The sequence below is a fragment of the Homo sapiens genome, chromosome 2, assembly GCF_000001405.40.
Source record: "Homo sapiens chromosome 2, GRCh38.p14 Primary Assembly".
Lineage (NCBI taxonomy): Eukaryota > Metazoa > Chordata > Mammalia > Primates > Hominidae > Homo > Homo sapiens.
In genome coordinates, this window is record NC_000002.12 from 241,641,094 (window position 1) to 241,656,611 (window position 15,518).

General features: G+C 49.7%; 1 protein-coding gene across 8 annotated transcripts in view, besides 2 other annotated features; it reads left to right on the forward strand.

Annotated features, from left to right (window-relative positions):
- The window catches only part of ATG4B (autophagy related 4B cysteine peptidase), a 36,165-nt gene that overhangs the window by 3,401 nt on the left and 17,246 nt on the right, over window positions 1-15,518 (forward strand). For 5 of the 8 annotated variants that reach the window (XM_005246992.5, NM_178326.3, NM_013325.5 and 2 more), the window contains exons 2-6: window positions 9,917-10,018; window positions 10,171-10,242; window positions 12,419-12,517; window positions 13,453-13,554; window positions 14,178-14,250. In XM_005246992.5, the coding sequence (XP_005247049.2) occupies window positions 9,917-10,018; window positions 10,171-10,242; window positions 12,419-12,517; window positions 13,453-13,554; window positions 14,178-14,250 (448 nt within the window). Of the gene's footprint in view, window positions 1-9,916; window positions 10,019-10,170; window positions 10,243-12,213; window positions 12,277-12,418; window positions 12,518-13,452; window positions 13,555-14,177; window positions 14,251-15,518 lie in introns of those variants that run through there. The other 3 variants (XM_047443738.1, XM_047443739.1, XM_047443740.1) reach the window with 2 other exon arrangements.
- Window positions 3,659-4,159: an enhancer, noted in NCBI's record as "H3K4me1 hESC enhancer chr2:242584167-242584667 (GRCh37/hg19 assembly coordinates)". NCBI's record gives its function as "activates a minimal SCP1, AML or CMV promoter by ChIP-STARR-seq in naive H9 embryonic stem cells {active_cell/tissue: H9 hESC(naive)}" and the evidence as "EXISTENCE:reporter gene assay evidence [ECO:0000049][PMID:30033119]".
- Window positions 4,231-4,732: an enhancer, noted in NCBI's record as "H3K4me1 hESC enhancer chr2:242584739-242585240 (GRCh37/hg19 assembly coordinates)". NCBI's record gives its function as "activates a minimal SCP1, AML or CMV promoter by ChIP-STARR-seq in naive H9 embryonic stem cells {active_cell/tissue: H9 hESC(naive)}" and the evidence as "EXISTENCE:reporter gene assay evidence [ECO:0000049][PMID:30033119]".

Here is a 15,518-nt window from a genome sequence, read left to right on the forward strand (position 1 = left end):
AGATGCCAGTGGATTAGCTCAGGGTGGGTAAGAGGTTGACTTCTGCATGTGTTTTGGAGGTTGAGACAATAGAATTTGTTTGTAGATTGGAAGTTGGGAGAGGGATGGGTAGAGAGGGAGGAGTTAAAGATGGCCCCATAGTGTATGGCCTGAGCTAAGCAACTCAGATGGAGGGGGGCGGGCGTGGTGGCTCACGCCTGTAATCCCAGCACTTTGAGAGGCCGAGGTGGGCGGATCACAAGGTCAGGAGATCGAGACCATCCTGGCTAACACGGTGAAACCCCGTCGCTACTAAAAATACAAAAAATTAGCCGGGCATAGTGGCGGGCGCCTGTGATCCCAGCTACGCAGGAGGCTGAGGCAGGAGAATGGCGTGAACCCGGGAGGCGGAGCTTGCAGTGAGCCAAGACTGCGCCACTGCACTCCAGCCTGGGCGACAGAGCGAGACTCTGTCTCAAAAAAAAAAAAAAAAAGAAACTCAGATGGGGAAGACTTGGGGAGGTCCTGTCTGGTGGGAAGCTTTCTGTTGCGAGTTTGGATTTATGTGTGTTGAATGTGAGGTGGATGTTAGACATCCTTGTAGAGCAGTGTCCAGTGGGCTTTTGGGTCTACAGGTTTGGAGCTAAAAGAATAAGCCTGGGCTGGAGATAGACTGGAGGTCACATCAGATGAGGTCACCCAGGGTGTGAATGTGGGTGGGAAAGAAAAGAGGCCAAAGGCCTCTGCGGGTGTGGAGAGGTCCAGGAGGTGGCAGGCAGACCACAGTGTGGCTGTGTTCTCCACCAGTCCCTAGCACTGTCCCTAAAAGCATGCTCCCCATTCAGACGACTGGCAGGTGCCAGCACTTAAATAGCCACACTGCCCATTCCTTGAGGACAGAGCTGGTGTCTTGTGCTTGCATTTCTAGTGCATCACTTGTGTCTGGCATGTGGTTGGTAATAAAAAAAAAACAGAACTTGAATTAATAATAACCTACACATTCCCCTACTATCAAAGCTTTCAGTTTGTAGAGTTTAACATAAATCCAGTATGTTAGCATAACATGTAATGAATGCAGAGGCTGCTGGGGAGTGGTTTTTTTTTTTTTCTTGAGATGGAGTCTTGCTCTGTTTCCCAGGCTGGAGTGCGGTGGGCGCGATCTAGGGGAGTGGGTTTTAATGTGCGCAATCTGCCCAGTGTGTGCACTGAAACAGTGTTTTCTAGCTTTCTGATGTAGCTAAATTTGGAGTTCCTTTCTCTCTTTCTCTGTTTTCATTCAGGACTGAACTACTAGCATTCTCATGTAAACTCTTGGAGATTTAAAAAAAAGTAGTAATCATATGCAAACTGTTATCTTAAACCTAAGAGCTTTCTAAAGGAAAAGAAGAACCTTTGTTGAATTTATAAAATATAAATCTTTTGGAAAATAACTTCTAAGTGTTTTAGGAAGGTTTCTTCGAAATGAAGTGGTTTACAGTAAGCTCTTAAATTTACTCGTTTTTTTTTGTAGTCCTCTCTGGTTGAATGAAGTGTAATTGGTACTAAATGGAGAGAAGTTGGTTAAATTCATTGAGTACAATTCCCTACATTTCTGCCTGTCAGATTAGTAGTACTAAGTCACATGTTTTTTCTGATGGAATTACTATATTATTAAAATGCCATCTGCCCTCTTCTGCTTGTGATCGCAGAAGTCCCAGGGAAGAGGGCGTGGAAAATCAAGTGTCTGGGATCCAGCCGACCAAATGGGAGAACTGCTTCTAAGGGGGACTCTTTCTTAAGGTGTACAGCACCTCTCCGTCCTTTTTTTTTTTTTTTTTTTTTTTTTTAAGACGGAGTCTCACTGTCGCCCAGACTGGCTGGAGTGCAGTGGCTCTATCTCAGCTCACTGCAGCCTTCGCCTCCTGGGTTCAAGAGATTCTCCTGCCTCAGCCTCCCGAGTAGCTGGGATTACAGGTGTGCACCACCATGCCTGGCTAACTTTTTTATATTTTTAGTAGAGATGGGGTTTCACCATGTTGGCCAGGCTGTTCTCGAACTTCTGACCTCAAGTGATCTGCCCGCCTCGGCCTCCCAAAGTGCTGGGATTACAGGTGAACCACCACACCCAACCTACTTCTTCATCTTGTTCCTCCTGCGTGTCATCTTTTTTTGAGGCAGGGTCTCACTTCATCGCTCAGACTGGAGTATGGTGTTGCGGCCTCAGCTCATTGCAGCCTTGACCTCCTGGGCTCAAGTGATCTTCTTGCCTCACATTCCTCAGTAGCTAAGACTACAGATGTCCACGCCTAGCTATTTTTTTTTTTTTTTTTTTTTTAAGAGAGACAGGGTCTCCCTGTATTGCCCAGGCTGGTCTCAAACTCCTGGGCTCAAGTGATCCTCCCATCTTGGCTTCTTAAAGTGCTGGGATTACAGGCATGAGCCACGGCACCTGGCCTTACATGTCATCTTATTTCAAATTAATATCATTACCTGGAAGTCTAGAGATGGGTCTATATATTTATTTATGTATATATGTACATATATATATAAACATATATATACGTATATATACACATAAATATATACACATATATGTATAAATATATATATACGTGTGTGTGTGTGTGTGTATGTATATATTTTCCCCCCCCCCCGTCGTCCAGGCTGGAGTGCAGTGGCGTGATCTCGGCTCACTGCAACGGGGTTTTGCCATGTTGGCCAGGCTGGTCTTGAACCCTTGACCTCAGGTGATCCACCCACCTTGGCCTCCTAAAGTGCTGGGATTACAGGTGTGAGCCACTGCACCCGGCGAGTGGATATTTTTTCCGAAGTTTGACTCCTTTTCTATCAGGAGCTACATGAATTACCTTATAAATCACATGATGTGGCACGGGAAGATGATGAAATTATGACAGGGGCTATGAAATAAGACAAGGGAACCTCTCCATGGCGAATTGCTGAGGCAGCTGGTGTCAGGCCTAAGTGGATCTCATACATCTGAGAGTCAGTGAAGGAACAAGTGTGGTGGCTCACACTTGTAGTCCCAGCACTTTGGGAGGCTGAGGTGGGTGGATCACTGGAGCCCAGGAGTTTGAGACCAGCCTGCTTAACATAGGGAAACCCCACCTCTACAAAAAATACAAAAATTAGGCATGACGGTGCATGCCTGTAGTCCCAGCTACTCAGGAGGCTGAGGTGGGAGGATCCCTTGAGGCCGGAAGGGGGAGGTTGCAGTGAGCTGAGATCACACCACTGCACTCCAGCTTGGGTGACAGAGCCAGACCCTTGGGTGACAGAGCCAGAAGGAACGTTTGGGAATGGAATCATCGTGTTGGTCGATCTGCAGATGTTAGTGATTGTGAGCGTTAGTTTTGCACCCATTGTGGGTTCTCACCCCACTTGGAAAACTGGTGGCTGTGCCCCATTTCATGGGTGAGGAGACTGAGGCTGGAAGAAGTCCAGGCCTGTGTCTGTCCTGTAGCTATCGACCAGGCTCTCAGACTCCAGAAACAAACCTCAGTAGGAATCAGAAGTGTTGGCCGGGCGCGGTCTGCCTGTAGCTATCGAGCAGGCTGTCAGACTCCAGAACCAAACCTCAGTAGAAATCAGAAGTGTCGGCCGGTTGCGGTGGCTCATGCCTGTAATCCCAGCACTTTCGGAAGCTGATGTGGGCGGATCATCTGAGATGAGGAGTTCGAGACCAGCCTGACCAACATGGGAGAAACCCATCTCTACTAAAAATACAAAATTAGCCAGGCGTGGTGGCACACACCTGTAATCCCAGCTACTCGGGAGGCTGAGGCAGGAGAATCGCTTGAAACCGGGAGGCGGAGGTTGCAGTGAGCCGAGATCGTGCCATTGCACTCCAGCCTGGGTGACGAGCAAAACTCCATCTCAAAAAAAAAAAAAGAAAGAAATTAGAAGTGTTAATTCCAAAAAAGTTATCTTCCTCCATTATAAAGTAAGATCTGGAAGGTCAGGGAGGTCTTTGTACCGTTCTGATGCCTCAGTCCATGGCTCCTCATTGTGTCTTCCTCTTCAGCTGGAGCTGCGAGGGTGTCCAGGAGGGGTGAGTTCTGCTCGGAGGGCCTGCCGAGGGCATTCCTTCCTGTCCTCCAGCATGAGAGGGACAGTGTGGGGCCCCTAGAGTACAGGGAAGACCTCCTCATAACTGAAGAGATGCGAGTCTGAGAGTCTTTATTGGCTCTTTTGTAGGAATCGCTGCAGGTCTCTTTGGTCCTTGGAGCCAGCCCGTGAGGCCGGGGGCAGGCTCTTGCTCTCTAAATGCAGTCACTCTTGGAGGAAAGGACGTTATGTTGGATTCAGTGTTAGTAAAGAGACTCATGTTTGGTTGGGTCTCTGTTGACCTTGTACTCTGTGCTGCACCTCTGCTTACAGAATACCTCCCATCCATGCCGGTTCGTGACTGCTCACCCGTTTCAGTGATCTGAGAAGGCTGGCCCTGAAAGAGTGGTTACTGCTCCCGTGCAGTTTAGAGCTTTTCCTGCACCTTGACTTGTCCGTTTCACAGTGAGGACACCAAGTCACAAGAAGGTCACTAGCCTGTAAGGTTGCGTGACTGCTCAGTGGTGGGCTCAGACTTCTGACTCCACAGCTGGCGCTCCAGCTGTCAGGAACGTGCTCCAGGTGTGACGTGTGGACACTCCCCACTTGCAGCGTCCTCCACAGTACCGAGAGGAGGGTGCAGTGTGGTGGGAGAAGCAAGGGATCATGTTTTCAGAGTGTCCGCCACTAGCCCTAGGGGAATGTATGACTCGCTCCCAACAGAGGGCAGGATTCTCGGGGAGGGCCGGAGTGCGTTTCTCTGGACGGAGGAGCAGAGCAGCTTGGGGCACGGTGTGGGAGCCCTCCTTAGGGACCTCATGGGTCACGTTCGCCGTGGCTGCGCCACTCCTGTTCACTGCCAAGCACCGTGATTGCTCCTTGGATTTGCTCCCCTGGGGTTTCCTGGTCTCCTTGATGGTTTATACAGTGAGCAATCTGAGGCCACACACCTGTAATTTTCACAGTTATAGCTGGAGGTGTGGTGGTGTATTTGAACTTAATGGAACACCTCTTATTCCCTTCACTCTGAAGTTGGCTTCCTTGCCTATAAAGTTTGGTGATAAACCTAAGAAATACACCTGCTGTGCATTTTACTGCGTCCGTGATGAAAATCCCTCAACTTCACAGCCGCTCAGGCCTCGTGACCCTGCTTTCAGAGGGAGCCTTTTTCCTTTTCTTCCTTATCTATACTTCTCTCATTCCTTTACCATTTATATTTTTAATATGGGAAACTAGACATCCTAGAAGTTTCTCAGCTTCCAGATTCTGTTACTGCAGACTGTTACTGATTCAACAATATGGTCCTTTTCCTGATGACATACGCCACATTCTTCTGAAGTACAGATGGTCTCCAAACTACCATGGTTTGACTTACAATTTTTTGACTTTACGATAGTGTGAAAGCAGTATGCATTCTATGGAAACCATACTTGACGTTTTGAATTTTGATCTTTTTCTGGGCTAGCAGTATGCCTCCAGATACTCTCGAGATGCCAGATAGCTCCTCGTCAGCCACATCATGAGAAGGGGGAATGACCCCTGCTCTACAGGGCACTGTGTTGCCAGCTGAGTTTGCCCAACTGTAGGCTAATGTAAGTGTTCTGAGCACATTTAAGGCAGGCTAGGCTAAGCTATGATGTTAGGTAGATTACGTGTATTCAATGCTTTTTTTTTTTTTTTTTTTGAGACAGAGTTTCACTCTCCCACCTGGGCTGGAATGCAGTGGCGCGATCTCAGGTCACTGCAGCCTCCGCCTCCTGGGTTTAAGCAATTCTCCTGCCTCAGCCTCCCGAGTAGCTGGGATTACAGGCACCTGCCACCATGCCCGAGTAACTTTTTGTGTTTTTAATAGAGATGGGATTTCACCATGTTGACCAGGCTGGTCTCCAACTCCTGACCTCAGGTGATCCACCCGCCTTGGCCTCCCCAAGTGCTGGGATTACAGGCATGAGCCCCTGTGCCTGGCCTCAGTGCATTTTTGACCTAAGTATTTTCAATTTACAATGGGTTTATTGGACATAATCCCATCCTAATTAAGGAACATCTGTAGTCTACAAAGAGATACTTGCCAGTGTTCATTTAGCTCTGCTGTACTTTAAATAAAAGATATGTGTATCTTTAGTTCAAAGCTGGTGCCTTGGAACGGTGTCAAACATGAGAAGAATGTTCCAACAGCAAGATGGAATCATTGTCTTGCAGTGTTGAAATTAGACCGGTGGTGGCCAGGCGCAGTGGCTCACGCCTGTAATCCCAGCACTTTGGGAGGCCGAGGCGGGAGGATCATGAGGTCAGGAGATTGAGACCATCCTGGCTAACACAGTGAAACCCCGTCTCTACTAAAAAAAATACAAAAAATTAGCCAGGCGTGGTGGCGGGCGCTTGTAGTCCCAGCTACTCAGGAGGCTGAGGCAGGAGAATGGCATGAGCCGGGAGGCAGAGCTTGCAGTGAGCCGAGATCGCGCTACTGCACTCCAGCCTGGTGGGCGACAGAGTGAGACTCCGTCTCAAAAAAAAAAAAAAAAAAAAAGAAAAGAAATTAGACCGGTGGTGTTTTCATCCTTTTTCCTTGAGAATAAGTTTTCTGGATTTTAGTCTATATATTGAATAAAGCCTACAGGTCAAAGAATAGTAGGGACTTCTGAAGATTCAGGAGTGGCTTTAGAGAGGTAGCAGGGACATCATGATGTTTTTCAGCTCTTTAAAAAGATAGGAGTGGGCCGGATGCTGTGGCTCACGCCTGTAATCCCAGCACTTTGGGAGGCCGAGGTGGGTGGATCACTTGAGGTCAGGAGATCGAGACCAGCCTGGCTAACACAGTGAAACCCTGTCTCTACTAAAAATACAAAAATTAGCCGGGCATGGTGGCAGATGTCTGTAATCCCAGCTACTCGGGAGGATGAGGCAGGAGAATTTCTTGAACCCGGAAGGTGGAGGTTGCAGGGAGCCAAGATCATGCCACTGCACTTCAGCCTGGGCAACAGAGTGAGACTCCATCACAAAAGAATAAAAAAAAGGCATGGACCTTAATTCATCCTAATTCAGTTTTTGTAATCATGTGCAGAAACAAGTAACATATATATAAAAAGGCAGGAGAGAATGTAAACTTGGACTTTATTTATTCACAGTCACCAAGCAGTTTGGTTGATAATGTCTCTGAAAGCATGGACAAGTGAAATATGTAAGAGCAGAGCTCTTGGGGGCCAGGTGCAGTGGCTCATGCCTGTAATCCCAGCCTTCGGGAGGCTAAGGCAGGTGGATTGCTTGAGCCTAGGAGTTTGAGACCAGCTTGACAACATGATTAGACCTCATCTCTACAAAAAATACAAGAATTAGCTGGGTGTGGTGGCACATGCCTGTAGTCTCAGCTGCTCAGGAGGCTGAGACCGGAGAATTGATTGAGCCTGGGAGTTTGAGGCTGCAGTAAGCTGTGATTACACCACTGTACTCCAGCCTGGGTGACAAAATGAGTCCCGGTCTCAAAAAAAAAAAAGAAAAAAAAACAGGAGCAGAGCTCTTGGACAAAGCCCTGCTGTGGAAAGCTTGCTTCATCTGGCTGCAGCCGCTCCACAACGCCCGTCATCTTGCTCAGGAAGCCACAGCACTACTCTAGGAAAGGGGCAGAGAGGGGCCTGGGTCTCCCACAGCTGAGAATCCTTTAAACAGTGCCTGTAGGGCCCTCTATTGTGGATTTGGTAGTTCTGCCTGCACCGAGGGAGATGCTTGCAGGTGCTTCTGAACCCTGTGTTTGGGAATTAGCTGCGCATACAATTAAGGCTTTTGGGTATAGTAAAATTTGTGTGCCTTTGACCCTGTGGTTCTGAGTCCTCGATGTTAATGACAGAGCGGACATTGCAGCCCTTCTGTCTGCCAGCCAGCACCTCATTGGAAGTGTTTCATTGAAACGTCACACCCATATGCTGAGGCTGTCCTGTTGTTATCCCATTTTATGGATGAGGGAACATTCACACTTAGAAGTTAAGTGAGTGGCCCAGGAAACTACAGTTTACCAGTACCCAAGCTGGGCTTTAAATTCTGACTGCCCCCTGCCTCCCCAAGGGGATTGTGCACAGCACAGAAGTTCACACACGATGCTTTTTAGTATCAGCTTAGGTGGAGATCTGTGTTTATGTAGAATGCTGAGGAAACCACAGGCATAGTATGATTTCACGTACGAACCTGTGCATAAAGACTTCTGGAAAGAGTCATTGCTGGGCAACGAGGCTTCACGTGATTTGTGTATTTTTGTAGTCTTCAGAATTTTTTATGATTAGCATATGTCATTCTTATTGAAGTGTGGGGTTGTTATCAAAAAGTAAATTTAGATGTGGGAGAAATTCATATGTGATTGATTTTCAAAAGATTGCTGTAAAGTTGCTGGTGAAGGATGAGTGATCAGACACCATCAGAGCTGGAGAGGCAGCAGATGGGAATTGTGTGTTCCCAGTTCCCTGAAGAGCAGCTGGAGAGAGATGCCTCTGGTGCCGCCCCAGAATACGCAATGGGCATCTCGCCACATGGGTGTTTGGGCTGGTGCATTGCTGCTGGCTGGCGCCTTCTTTTCAGGAACATTGTGGGACATGGGTATCCTCAGCCACAGTTCTGTGGACAGGAAGACCCTGGGCCTCTCTAGTTTCTTTCTTTCTTTTTTTTCTTTTTCTTTTCTTTTTCTTTTTTTTTTTTTTTTGAGATGGAGTTTCACTCTTGTCACCCAGGCTGGAGTGCAGTGGCACAATCTCAGCTCACTGCAACCTCCACCTTCTGGGTTCAAGTGATTCTCTTGGCTCAGTCTCCCTAGTAGCTGGGATTACAGGCGCCCGCCACCACGCCTGGCTAATTGTTGTACTTTTAGTAGAGACGGAGTTTCACCATGTTGACCAGGCTGGTCTCAAACTCCTGGCCTCAGGTGATCTGCCCACCTCGGCCTCCCAGAGTGCTGGGATCACAGGCATGAGCCACTGTGCCTGGCCTAGTTTCTTAATTGAAGTAAAACAGAGTAAGATGGCATGCAGGGCTAATCATTAGCCCAGCAGGTAAGCACCATGGCTCTGCAGCCAGCTGCCTCCTTAGAAAGTGGGGTGTTGCCCCATGGAAGTGGTGGCATGCTCTTCTGGTAGCATTGTTGAAATGAAAACAGGTTCAGTCCTTGATCACTAGGCTTTTTGTACCCGGGTACCTCTGGGGACTTGGCAGAGAGTTTGATCTCTCAGTGTCCAGGGGTTAACTTTCTACCTGAGAGTAGCACCCCATGCTTCTCCAGCACCTGCTCCTAACCAGGAAATTGGGGTAGACCAGAACCCCAGTCTTCCCAGCAGCTCAGTGTTTCTTGCCCCGGAGCATCTGCCTTCATCACAGTGACTCTGAACACGCTGCCATGGTGACATCTGGTAAACCTTAGGATGGCCATGGAAAACGACTCTTTGCCCTGTTTCTTCTTGGCTTCCCTTGCGTACAAGGATGAAGGAGGTGGTTTAACTTTATTTTTGTCCTTTACTTTTTAAGTCTAAAGTAAGTGCTTGAATCGGGTGGGTTTTCATTTTTTTGCTTTCTCACCCCTCAGGTTGGCCCCTAACTTGGCCTCTCACCCTCGTGTCAGCTGTTAGACACTGACTCAGTGGCTCAGAATATGAAAGGCTCAGGAAGTAGCATGCTGGCCCCACCTCCCTGTCCCCATACCTTAGCAGAGCAGCTGCCCAGCAGGGCCTCCTTCTCTTTCCTAAGAGTTTACTCCATCCATGGTGGGTGTCTTGGTAGGCCCGAGATACGAGAGGGAGTGCTGCTGTTACAAGAATTTACAGTTGTTCTCTTCAGCACAGAAATGCTGTAAATGGCCTCTTTCGATACTAGTTTATGAAATTATAAGTGTCTGATGATTGTGCATCTTTGGTTTCAACAGCTACTCTGACCTACGACACTCTCCGGTTTGCTGAGTTTGAAGATTTTCCTGAGACCTCAGAGCCCGTTTGGATACTGGGTAGAAAATACAGCATTTTCACAGGTATCGGCCATGCTGGAGCCCACCCTGGTCTGACCGCTTGGCCTGCAGAAGCATTTTGTGATCACTGTTCTCTGCTAACTCTGCCATAACTTGTGACTTGCAAACTTAAGGCGTTGTGTGTGTGTGTTTTTTTTCTTTTAAACAACCTCTAGAAAAGGACGAGATCTTGTCTGATGTGGCATCTAGACTTTGGTTTACATACAGGAAAAACTTTCCAGCCATTGGTAAGTACTCTGTTTTATTACAACGCGGGACAAAATATGTTTTTAGGAAGGAGGAAAACTTACGCTTGTAGATTTGACTTCAATATGCCACTGACTTCATTTGAATCTTCACAGCAATCCTGCTTAACTGAATTGGCCGAGGCCTCACGTGTAGTAGTGGCAAAGCTAGAATCCACGGCGCCTGACTCTAGGCTAGTGTGTTTTCAACTGCAAATCCCAGCTTATTACTGGAGCTGGAAATCAGTATCATGAGTTATGACCAACGTTGTTTTAAATGTAGGACAGAATGTCATAGAAAGCGGTGTGTGTCCGCCACGGGCACGCAGCATGGCGCTTCAGGGATCTTCGTTTTCGTTTGCATGTTTGAGTGTGTGTTCTGGGTCACAGCTGTACAATGTGTTTCTTACTTAGGTCCAGAATGTTTGGAAGCCATTCTCTGTAGCCCTCATCTTTTTTAGTATTTTCCACACTTAACCTGTGGGGAGATTTGAAGGGCCAGGTGAATGTGACATGTTTTTATGTAACACTAAGGTGCATTCTGTTAAAAGCCATTCATCATTGTTGTATACCCTGGAGCTGGAAGGAGATGGGGACTGGTTCTCAGCCTTGCCTCTCACCGGCGGAGAACTGAGGCCGGAGGTGAGGGCCGGGCTGGCGTCATGCTTCCTCAGTGCCAGGTCAGGGTTTGGTCCCTCTTCTAGGGGTGGTTTCATTCTTTATCCTGAAGTGAGGTGGAAGTCAAATAGCCACAACGGCTGGACATTGGAGAACACTGACGCGTAGGGACATACGACAGTGTCTCCTTAGGTTGATATTTAATGATACACCTTGTGAGATGTACCCTGGGAATATTGATATGTAATGATATATTTTAATGACATACCTTGTCAGATGTGCCCTGGGAATAGTTGCTCATTCCACAGTTTCCGCTTGTTTCGCAGCTGCGCTGAACCTGCTCTCTTGGCCGCCTTGGATGCAGGTTTGTCCCCAGCCTCCATCTCCTTCACAGCTACCCTGCCGCGTGCTGGGAAGGAGAACAGGACTGGAGCGAAGCCTTTCTGGTTTGGCAGAGGCCTTGTGGAGGAGGTAGAGGCTGGGGATGAGCCTGCACATGAAGCAGCCCTGTCGCAGTTCTGAAGGGCAGTGTGCTGTGTTTCCTTCTTAGCCCCACGGAGATAATTTTTTAAAATTATTACTTTCATTTTTTTAATAGATGGGGTTTCGCTATGTTGCCCAGGCTGGACTTGAACTCCTGGGCTCAAGCAGTTCTCCCTCCTCAGCCTCCTGAGTGTCTGGGACTACAGGTGCACACCACCACGCCTGGCTCTGAGATACGTTTTTATCAGCAGTAGAGCGATCAGCAGTGGAGCGAGGGTGACCATGGGCACTGCTGATTGGGTTGTTGGTGGGTGACGGCCACCACTACCCCAAGACACAGGGTTTATTGTCCGTGCCAGTGCATGGAGAAGCTGCCGGAAGCCCAGAGGTGGGCACAGGGCGAACCTTGTGGTCTGACCCCTGAATCTCTGCTTCTCACCCTGGTGTGCAGCCACCTAGCAGCCTCTTGTCTGCTGCACAGGTGGCCCTCTCTGTTGTCACAGCTGTGCAGTGGCCTTCCACTGGACCCCTGCTATGGGCTGGCAGTGTTTCCCACGTGCCTGTCACATGCCGCGCAGTTCCATGGTGCATGTTGTCCATCTTTCTGGGCCCCAGGGAGTGGCCGTGAGGGCAGGGCCCAGGCACCTGTGCTGGAAGGGCTGAGTTGCTGCCCTTGCGGCCCTTCCTGTGCTCTCAGCAGCACTGGATGTCATCAAGCGTTTGAATTTCTGCCTTTCTGATAATTGGAAAATGCGTTGTTTTGTTTAACTTTGCATTTTCTGGATGACTTACGGGGGTCAGTGTCTTCATATGTTTGTCAGACATTCCTTTTGCTCCGTGACTGACTTGTTCATGTGTTTTGCCCATTTTGAGGAGGTTGTCGGGACATTTCACTCTCCAGTAAATGTGGCCCTTGGCGTTACTGAGTCCTAAGAGGTGTGTGTTGCCCCAGGTGGAGCTGATGGAGGAGGGAGTCGGTGCCTGTGGTGTGGGACTGACCGGCTGCCTCCTGCCAGTGGGCTTGTGGCCTGTGGGGCCATCTGGCCATGAGCACTTCTCTCTCTGTCTGCCACGACAGGGGGGACAGGCCCCACCTCGGACACAGGCTGGGGCTGCATGCTGCGGTGTGGACAGATGATCTTTGCCCAAGCCCTGGTGTGCCGGCACCTAGGCCGAGGTGAGTCACAGCCCTGGGGAGGGCGCATGGCCACGGTGTTCTCAGGAAGCAAAGGGGACTGTGGGGTCAGGGCTCTTTAGAGCAGACCACAGGTAAAACAGTAAGTAGAACTTGGGGGTTTCTTGAGTAATGAGCCACTTGTTTTTCTTGATTTAAAAAACTGACTTTAAAGAATGCTAATAAATCCGCATGGGCAACATGGCGAGACCCCGTCTCACAAAAAATACAAAAATTAGCCAGGCGTGGTGGCTCCTGCCTGTAGTCCCAGCTACTTCGGAGACTGATGTGGAGAATTGCTAGAACCCAGGAGATGGAGGCTGCAGTGAGCTGAGATCGCACCACTGCGCTCCAGCCTCTGCAACAGAGTTAGACCCTATCTGAAAAAAAAAAAAAAAAAAAAAGAAGAAGAAGAATGCTAATAAATGTTTTAAATTACTGAAACTGTTTTCTGTACAGATTTGTTTTGATAACTTGGCGTATATGTATTTGAAATCCTGGAGAACATGGGTTTTTACTTTTAAAAGATTCTGGGCTGGGTGTGGTGGCTCACGCCTGTAATCCCAGCACTTTGGGATGCCGAGGCGGGTGGGTCACGAGGTCAGGAGATCAAGACCATCCTGGCCAGCATGGTGAAACCCCATCTCTACTAAAAACACAAAAATTAGCTAGGCTTGGTGACATGTGCCTGTAGTCCCAGCTACTCGGGAGGCTGAAGCAGGAGAATCGCTTGAACCCGGGAGGTGGAGGTTGCAGTGAGCCGAGATCACGCCATTGCACTCCATCCTGGGTGAGAGAGCGAGACTCTGTTTAAAAAAAAAAAAAAAAAAAAAAAGATTCTGAAAAAGGTTTGGATGCCATCTGTATCTTTAGTGTGAAAGTGAAAACTTGTTTCTCATATTTATGGTAGAGCTGACCTGTAATTTTTTTTCCAATAGATTGGAGGTGGACACAAAGGAAGAGGCAGCCAGACAGCTACTTCAGCGTCCTCAACGCATTCATCGACAGGAAGGACAGTTACTACTCCATTCACCAGATAGGTGGGAGGCTGCAGAATGTGCCAGGCCCCACCCGGGCTGTCTGGAGAGGGTGGAGTGGTCGGTTTCCCCTCAGAGCTTTTCTGGTGTCGTGGGATGTGGAGCAGGAGGCTGTAAACCTGTAAACACTGACCTCTGACCATCTGTGCGCTGCTGTCACATCACCCCCGTGTCATCCCACATCACCCCCGTCCCACCCAGGCCCAGACCCTGGGCCTTGCCCTTCCTGCTGTCCATGCGGCTTGCAGTGCCTGGTGCTCGGCACAGTCTGGGGAAATTGGCCTCGCCCCATCAGTGAATCTGAATGCTCAGATTGAAGTGGAGTGAGTAAAGAAGAGTTGGCCTTTCTTGCAAGCAAGGCCGGCTTTTGAGCACTGTGTTTTCACTTATAGAAGGAAGTGGTCCCTTCATTTCCCCTCCTTTTCTAAGTTCATAGTGAAGGACAGTCCCTGAGACCTTGTTTGCCCCCTCATGCCTCCCCCGATCTTGTTGGGGCATCCTTCCGTCTGGAGGCTGGGTCGGGTGCTGTCCAGGCCTTCCTGTGACGTGTCTCCTGGCACCACGTGCCACCAGAGGTCAGGGCTGGGGGCGGGTGTGTGTTGCTAATGTGTATCTGTTCCCTGCAGCGCAAATGGGAGTTGGCGAAGGCAAGTCCATAGGCCAGTGGTACGGGCCCAACACTGTCGCCCAGGTCCTGAAGTATGTACTGCGCTTCCACTGCTGAGCATGGGGCAGCAGGGATGTTCCCTGGGGGTTAAATTCTCCTTGAGTCTTCATGGCTACAGGAAATAAGGGGTCTCTAATTATTTACTTCATGGCCCTCAGAAGGTTTCTCAGCGATGACTGTGTTGAGGTCTTGTGAATAGGAATTTATGTTTTCTAACAAAATGAACACCGTAGTCCACATCCTGGCTGGCACATTGGACCCTTGTTCTTTGCTGCATGGATCCACCTGTAATGGTGGCTTCTGATGGGGTGGGCAGCTGAAGCTAGTCTGCAGCCATCTGTGCGGGTGCCGGGCCCTTCCACCTCTGCAGGCTTGTTGGAGGCTGCCCTCCGCGGGCCTTGCCACCTGCCTTTCTCACTCTACCCGGAGACTCCCTGTAGCCTCGCTCACCTTCCCATACACCTCAGCGTCTGAAAGTGTGCTCTGCACCTGCTCCGCACCGCTTCCTTTCGCACCTCACTCAGCCCCATTGCGTGCCCGCCCCCCAGATTCCTCTGAGATGACCTTCCCTGCAGTTCCAGAAACTTGCCTGTGGTTTCAGCTTCGTGTCCACTCTTCACTCCTCTTGACCCATCCAGGGTCATTTGGTCTGATTCCATGTGTCCTGGCATCCCAGCATTTTTGGGGAGGCTCTGGCCAGATCCCCCAGGACTTGTCCCCTCAGGGTCTCCTCCCCACTGGTCTGAGGGCCAGCGTCTCCCCAGCCTGTCTTCAGCCACGGCCCCCTTGAAGCCTCTCCTTCTGCATCTGCCTGTTCTGTATCCCACTCAAGGCCCTCAGGCATCCCACGTTCCACATTCCTGAAATGGCCCTGTCTCCCCTCACCCACAGCCTGCTCCTCAGCATGGCAGTCACTGTCTCCACCCAGCTTTTCTGTCAGGTTCCCTGGGGTCCTGCACAAGTCCGTCTCTGCCACATCCCACGTCACCCGCGTCCCACGTCACCCCCGTCCCACATCCCCAGCCTGCTGCTCCCTCTGTCTCCAGGGCCCGCCCTGTGTTTGGCGTGGCACCTGCTCAGTCCCTACTGCATGCCCTTCAGAGTCCTCTGTCCAGCAGCTCCCCAGCCCCCACCACACCCTTCCACTCACACTTCTCTTGCTGCTGCCTGGAGTGGCCCCACCAAGTCAGCGCTGTTTCTCTGGAAGCACCAGGCCACTCGCCATGCTCGCTGTTTCTCCTGGTCCCCTGCCTGCTCCCCACCAGCCCCCGCCCCTGTTGCTGGATGATCCTCCCCAACC